The sequence below is a fragment of the Homo sapiens genome, chromosome 11 (genome assembly GCF_000001405.40).
Source record: "Homo sapiens chromosome 11, GRCh38.p14 Primary Assembly".
Classification (NCBI taxonomy): Eukaryota; Metazoa; Chordata; class Mammalia; order Primates; family Hominidae; genus Homo; species Homo sapiens.
The window spans coordinates 32,573,947-32,581,858 of NC_000011.10; the positions used below are offsets into that span (position 1 = coordinate 32,573,947).

General features: G+C 42.7%; 1 annotated feature.

Moving 5' to 3' along the window:
• Positions 563-763: a silencer, noted in NCBI's record as "peak1246 fragment used in MPRA reporter construct". NCBI's record gives its function as "represses an SCP1 promoter by STARR-seq MPRAs in K562 erythroleukemia cells {active_cell/tissue: K562}" and the evidence as "EXISTENCE:reporter gene assay evidence [ECO:0000049][PMID:32103011]".

Genomic DNA, 7,912 nt, shown 5'->3' on the forward strand with positions numbered 1-7,912 from the left:
AGATGGATTTCACCATGTTGGCTAGGCTGGTCTCGAACTCCTGACCTCAAGGGATCCACCCACCTCGGCCTCCCAAAGTGCTGGGATTACAGGCGTGAGCCACCACGCCTAGCCTTCTATCCTTAAACTTTTTTTTTTTTTTGAGACGGAATCTCGCTCTGTCACCAGTCTGGAGTGCAGTGGCACGATCTCGGCTCACTGCAACCTCCGACTCCCTGGTTCAAGTGATTCTCCTACCTCAGCCTCCCAAGTAGCTGGGATTACAGGCACCCGCCACCACGCCCAGCTAATTTTTGTATTTTTAGTAGAGATGGAGTTTCACCATGTTGGCCAGGATGGTCTCGATTTCCTCACCTCATGATCCGCCTGCCTTGGCCTCCCAAAGTGCTGGGATTACAGGCGTGTGCCACTGCACCTGGCCTATACTTAAATTTAATAACAACACAGGAACAATCACAAGAAAATTATCCCATCTAACATAATGCAAGCATGCCTCATACAAATAAAACACGCTCACTCTCTGTCTAAAAGGGAGACAATCTTAAAAAAAAAAAAACAACTCATCCAAATATTGCATCTGGCTCATAATCTTAGTGAACGATGTGCAGATCCAGATGTGTTTCCTCAGGGCATAGTGAACTTAACACTAAAAGATAAGGTAACTGTCTCCAATACACTGACTGGATAAGAGGAAGGAGCAGGAAGGAGTCACAGCTGCAAGTGAGAACAAGACACTGGGAAACGCATGGCAGTCGCAGCAATTCTCAAACCATGGCTTTTGGCAGAGAGAATGAGGAATCCTTGCCTTGGTGGTGATAAGATCTTGGTTAGTATATTAGGCTGTTTTTGCATTGCTATAAAGAAATACCTGAGATGGGGTATTTCTAAAGAACACAGGTTGAACTGGTTCACAGCTCTGCAGGCTGTACAGGCATGGCACTAACATGTGCTCTGCTTCTGGTGAGGGCCTCAGGAAGCCTTCAGTCATGGTGGAAGGTGAAGTGGGAGCAGGCATGTCACACGGTGAGAGCAAGAACAAGAGAAAGGAAGAAGGGGCAATCTCACGCTTTTACACAACCAGATCTCGTGTAAACTAATGGAGCAAGAATTCAATGATCACCAAGGGGATGGTCCTAAACCATTCACGAGGGATCCACCCCATGATTCAATCATCTCCCTCCAGGCCCCACCTCCAACACTGAGGATTACATTTCAACATGAGATCTGTAGCAGACAAAGATCCAAACCCTATCAGTTAGCATGTCTGGTAGCCCCTGGTTCTGCCCTCTGAAGGAATCCTGGGAGTTCATTATTATCCATGACCTCATCTGATAAGAGCTTTGGAAAGGATGCCTTTCCCAGGGGCGTCACAGAGCCTTCACAGCCTACTTCTAATTAGTGTGAGTTTAGGGGCCTGGAGTGGCCTTAGGTGTTGAAAAACCAAAGGCTGTTGCCCAGCAAATCTGGAGTTTCCTTGCTAATATGCTGCAGAGAGACAATTTTCCATGGGTCTCTTGTATCTCTATATATCTTGAAATCAGAATCACTATTTTTTGTTTCGGACTATGTTTTCAAGGATGTTTGTACAGCAGACAGCCTAGGATGATAGAGATGTTTTCATACCGAGCAAAGGGCAGGCAAACTTACTGGTCATCATAAAATATTTGGGTTCCCTAAGCTTGTGGCTCCTTATCTGTAATGCAGCCTACAGTGTGTGTGGACACATGTCTGGGCACATCCACATAGCCCCTGTGGGACTTGGAGATTAGGGAAACTGATGCAGTGTACTGTTGTTCTTTGTTGCTTGCTCTGCTGTAATAAAGCCCTTTGTCTCTGATCCATGGATCTTTCGTCTTCTACCAACATCCATTAAAAATCAGCCTCGGCCAGGCACGGTGGCTCATGCCTGTAATCCCAGCACTTTGGGAGGCCAAGGCGGCGGATCACCTGATGTCAGGAGTTCCAGACCAGCGAGGCCAACATGGTGAAACCCCATCTCTACTAAAAATACAAGAATTACCGGGGCGTGGTGGCGCACACCTGTAGTGCCAGCTACTCCGGAGGCTAAGGCAGGAGACCGCTTGAACCCAGGAGGAGGAGGTTGCAGTGAGTCAAGATCATGCCACTGCACTCCAGCCTGGGCAACAGAATGAGACTCTGTCTCAAAAAAAAATAAAAAATGTGCAAAGCTTCCTGTAAGCTTCACGCAGCACTAGCCATAGCCAAAGATCTTTCCTAGAGTCTTTAAGTCTTTTCTTCTACCTACCAGACAACGTGTTCTGCATTCCTCTTGCCCTTAGATTAACAGTTTTTGGGGCAATTTGAAACCATAGGCCCTGGTGGGAAAAGATGTTTAATCTAATTGTTATTAGTAGGTTCAGATGTATTCTGGCTGAGAACTCCTACAGGGAGATTCTTTAGAAAGGCCTGAAGCCCTGTTTTTATTCACTTGCTGCAGCTAGCCTTGCCAATTTCAGGCAGGGGCCATAAACTGGCATTTCAACCTACAGGGCTCTAGAGCAAGGAGTTCTCAGTCAGTTGAGATTGGAGGCTCTAGGCAGAGTGGCTCTCACCCTAGCGTATTACTAACCATCTCTGCTTACAAAGTAGCTTTTTACCCCTATCCTTTGGGACTTTGCTGAAAGTGGCAAGAAGTAACCAGGATCTGTCAACATAAATTATATCTACTTTTTCCCCTGACAGCAACATAAAACATCATGGTTTATGTTCTGAGAAACAAAAGGAGACAGGTTTCCATGAAGAATGTTCTGATGTCATATAACAAGGCTCTTTCTAGCCTGTGAAATCCTTGTGCTCATTGTCAAAGCCTGACTTCTTTCACTAAGCCAATGCCAAATTTTAGGTTCTATTACTTAAAGCACTCCACTTCTGGTGCCACATCTGTTGTCCATAACAAAACAAAATTGACATATAGTGGCTTAGGCAAATAAGGTGTACTTTCCTTGCAAAACGAGAAATCTAGAGGTAAATTCCACAAGGCTGAAAAGGTAGTTCTGTAATGAACAGATCCAGGTTCCTTGTAGCTTTCTAGGTGATCCTTTAGCATGCAGAATGCAGCCTCCTCAGCGTGTTACCACCAGGCTGCAAAATGGCTGCCCCACCTCCAGCTCCACGTCTACATCCAAGGTAGGAAGAAGGGGAAAGGCAAAAGGGTAAAGCCTCCTCCAAGTATACCTCCATTTAAAAGCTTAGCCAGGTGTGGTGGCTCACACCTGTAATCCCAGCACTTTGGGAGGCCAAGGTGGGGAGATCACCTGAGGTCAGGAGTCTGAGACCAGCCTGGCCAACATGATGAAACCCCTTCTCTACTAAAAATACAAAAATTAGCCGGGAGTGGTGGCGGGGCCTGTAATCCCAGCTACTGTAAGGCTGAGGCAGGAGAATCGCTTGAACCTGGGAAGTGGGGACTGCACTGAGCTGAGATTGCACCACTGCACTCTAGCCTGGGTGATAGGAGTGAGACCCTGTCACTACAACAACAAAAAAAGAGAAAAACTTTTAAATGATAGCCATTCTTGCTATTGTCTTTTTTTATAAAGTGTTATCTCACTGTGATTTTCATTTGCCTTTCCCTGATGGCTAATGAATGCTCTTTTTAAAAAAAAAAAAAACCTGAATGATGAGTACTTGCGTATGTTCACTGTGATAACTCACCAAATGGTAGGCTTATTATAATTTGTGCATCTGACTATAAGTTATACTTCAATACAAAAGTTTATTTTAAAAGTATATGTTTTACATAAAGAAGTCTTACATTCTATTTTTAAAGTGAAATCACCAAAAAGGAAAGAGACAAGAACAGCAGCTATTAAATGAGACAGACCTGAACAGGAATTGCTGGCCAATGCTCTGCATTTCTTAGTAGCAGAGGTGCCTAACTCCTCTGAGCCTCTATTGCTTCATCTTCACACACACACACATCCACACACACACCAAAACAACAAAACAACATTAGCTGGGTGTGGTGGCTCGCACCTGTAATTCCAGCACTTTGGGAGGCTGAGGCTGGTGGATCACTTGAGGTCAGGGGTTCAAGACCAGCCTGGCCACCATGGTGAAACCCTGTCTCTATTAAAAATACGAAAATTAGCTGGGCATGGTGGTGCGCGCCTATAATCCCAGCTACTTGGGAGGCTGAGGCAGGAGAATCGCTTGAACCGGGAGGTAGAGGTTGCAGTGAGGTGAGATTGCACCACTGCACTCCAGACTAGGCGACAGAGACTTCATCTCAACAACAACAAACTCTCACAGAGTTGTGGTTAGTATGGCGCCTACAGGAGCTCAAAATAATAAAGTTTTTTTCCCAAAAATATAAAAATTATTAGCTCATAAAATTACTCTTGCATTTGCATTGTTTGCAGTTGCTAAACCTTTTCCCTAGCGCATTAAGTTTTCTACTCTGGTATAGACAAGCCTTGCTGAAATCATTTTAAAAGCGTGAATGATGAATATGTCTTCCTCAGATTCAACAAATTTATGAATGTTTCAATAAATGCTTATATCACGTGAAGTGAGGAGGTTAACCTCATGAATTTTAATACGAAGACTAATGTAAAAATGAATGCTTTCTAATGGTCAAAGTGTTTGAGATTTAAGGTGCTGCATGAGTTCTACTGCTGGATCTACTGCTCAGGTGCAATATATTTCAGTAAGTCACCAATCAACTGCCTTAAATATCCTTTGTTTCACCTATAAAGTCAGTGCAATCATATGTTGCATCGCTAGTATACAATTTAATTATTAGCTATAAATCTCTGAGATCCTAAGATGGTAGCTTTGTAAATTCAATGTTACATTGCAACAGCATTAAGAGAGATTCCAAGATTCCCACCATCAATATGCATTATACAAATTTGTTAACTTGCACTAACATAAACCTTTTATTTACAAAATTATGACTTTAGACTTCAAACTTTTTTCTCTGTGTCAATCAAGATTAGTTTCGTCTGTATACAAGAAAAAAACAATATAATAGTGCATTAAACAAGATGGAGGTTTATTTTCCTCTTATGTAAAATAAATTCATGGGTAGGCCGTCATGGGCTGGCATCACACTCTCCTAATGTCATCAGGGATATGGGCTCCTTCCGTCTTTCCTCTCCACCACATGGCTTCCACCAAGGCCACGTCTTGGTTTTAGTTTGGTTGCTGTAGCACCCACCATCAAGTCCATGTTTTAGGCAAAAAAAAAAAAAAAAGTGGAGGGTGGCGGTGGGGGGCAAGGGCAAAAGAGTCAGTTCCAAGAAAGAGCTTTGCCAGAAGCTGCTCTCAAAATTTCCATCCACATCTCACCAGCTACACCTAGCTATAAGAAAGCTTATCAATTTCGTATCATAGAAGGGTGCATTGTGGCACCTACAACTACACCTTAGTTCTGCTGCTAAGGAATAAGAGGGCGGATGTCAGGTTGACAGTCTTTGCCATGCTTAAAAAAAATCTTTTCCATGGGTTCCTAGAATGTTGTGATCACTCATTTTGATTCAAAATTAAAATTTTTTTCATTCAAAATTAAAATTTAAAGCAATTTTCAAAGATTTGTCGCAAATCTATCTAGCGAGTTAACATTTAGAGTATCATTCACTAATACAACAAATACTTATTGCACCATCTATCAGGCACGTTGATAAAAAAGGGATGGGATGCAATAATGAACACATCCCCACTTTTTCAGAGCTCATAGTTCATCAACTCAGTAAAAGTATGATGTGCTAATATACTATAAATGACACCTATTTAGAATGGATTACCCTCTATACATAGTCTTAGTATTTAGGTAATCAACTACATATACTATTTTTTTTTTTCTGAGACAGTCTTGCTCTTGTCGTCCATGCTGGAGTGCAGTGGCGCGATCTCAGCTCACTGCAACCTCCCCCTCCCGGGTTCAAGCGATTCTCCTGCCTCAGCCTCCCAAGTAGCTGGGATTACAGGTACCCACCATCAAACCCAGCTAATTTTTGTATTCTTAGTGGAGATGGGGGCCAGGCTGGTCTTGATCGAACTCCTGACCTCAGGTGATCTGCCTGCCTCAGCCTCCCAAAGTGCTGAGATTACAGACATGAGCCACCGCACCTGGCCACATATACTATTTTAGCATAAAAATATACTTTCGTTTATCAGATGAATAATTGCCTCATTCTGAGATGCTGATACAGACTTGAAAACAAATTTTAGATATTACTGTCATGCAAAGCATTCTTGTAAAAAATATAACTTTGCTCCAATAATACAATTTCAAGCAAATATATTAATATGGCTCTTGCAAATAGAATACTTAAAAACATAGTTAAATCCACATTTTCCGGAATTTTTAATCAGAAAGGAGATAACAAAGGGAACATAGACAAATTAAACAATAAAGAAAAACTGTACATATTTGGTTGTATTTTTCAGGTAAAAATTAAACTAAGATAATACTGCCTTGCAGATGGTGGGGCTTTGTTCAACTCCCTGGTGATTCCTTTTCCTTTTTTTTTTTTTTTTTTGGAGTCTCACTCTGTCGCCCAAGCTGGAGTGCAGTGGCGTGATCTCAGCTCACTACAACCTCCACCTCCTGAGTTCAAGTGATTCTCCTGCCTCAGCCTACCAGGTCCCAGCTAATTTTTGTATTTTCAGTAGAGACAGGGTTTCACCATGTTGGCCAGACTGGCCTGGAACTCCTGGCCTCAAGTGATCCACCTGCCTTGGACTCCCAAAGTGCTGGGATTACAGGCATGAGCCACCGCACCAGCCAAGCTTTTAAAGAATTAAAGTTAGTTTTATTCAGAGGTCTTACCGAGGATTGCAACCCAGAGAGTCTTCCAGAGAGTTTCTGTTAAACTGCTCCAAAGCAGTGTTTCCGCACACAGTTTGTGTACATCAGTGGTGGCTCTGCCTGTGCTCAGAAGTTACATTAAATGTGCTCAGAAGTTACATTAGAGCGAAATCACATCATGGTTTGGGTGCCAGGGTCCATCTGGTTATAGATTATGGAGACATAATCATTATTGCTGTCAGACATGGGTGTGCATTATACCCATGCACATGAAGAGGCAGAGGCTAGGATCATTGAACTTATGTTTTCTAAAACTGCAGTGATTCAGGCAAGAGAATGGGGACCTGTGCTCTATCCTGTTTATCTTTAGGGTATTCTTCCAGAGGGTTGCCCTCACTCACTGAGTCAGGGGCTTTGCGAAATTCTCTGGCAAACAGAATGAGCAAACATTCCTTCTTAGGTTTGCTACTTTGTCTCACAAGATTCATCCTGACCTAGGTGAGGACAGGCATTTCCTACTCAAATGTTGCATTTCCCAAGACTACTCGGGCCTACCACACCTCCATCCTGTGTGTGTGTGTGTGTGTGTGTGTGTGTGTTTATTTTGAATGAATGAAAGTTTAAAGTTTTAAATAACTGAGGACAGGCATTTCCGCATTTCCTACTCAAATGTTGCATTTCCCAAGACTACTCGGGCCTACCACACCTCCATCGTGTGTGTGTGTGTGTGTGTGTGTGTGTGTGTGTGTGTGTGTTTATTTTGAATGAATGAAAGTTTAAAGTTTTAAATAACTGTCCATATCCTCTCTCAAGAATTTCCCTGGGTGTTCTTTTACTTCACAAGGATCACAGAATGAAAAAAAAAATAACAATAGTAAAAAAGAGACAAGTCTTTTAAATATTTGATAAAATGGTATTGTATTGTTGAGTTTGTATTCCTCGAACTTTGCAATAATAAGGCGAGGGGAGGAGCCCAGGGATTATTCCTTCAGAATCAACTGGTATTTCCTGATGATCTGCTGTGGGCTGGGCACTGAGGTGGGTGCGGAAATGCAGGGTGAACATGACACAGGTTCCCTGCCTTCAGTTTCACTTTCCACATTGTTAAGGCTATTCCATGCAAGAATGAATCCTTTC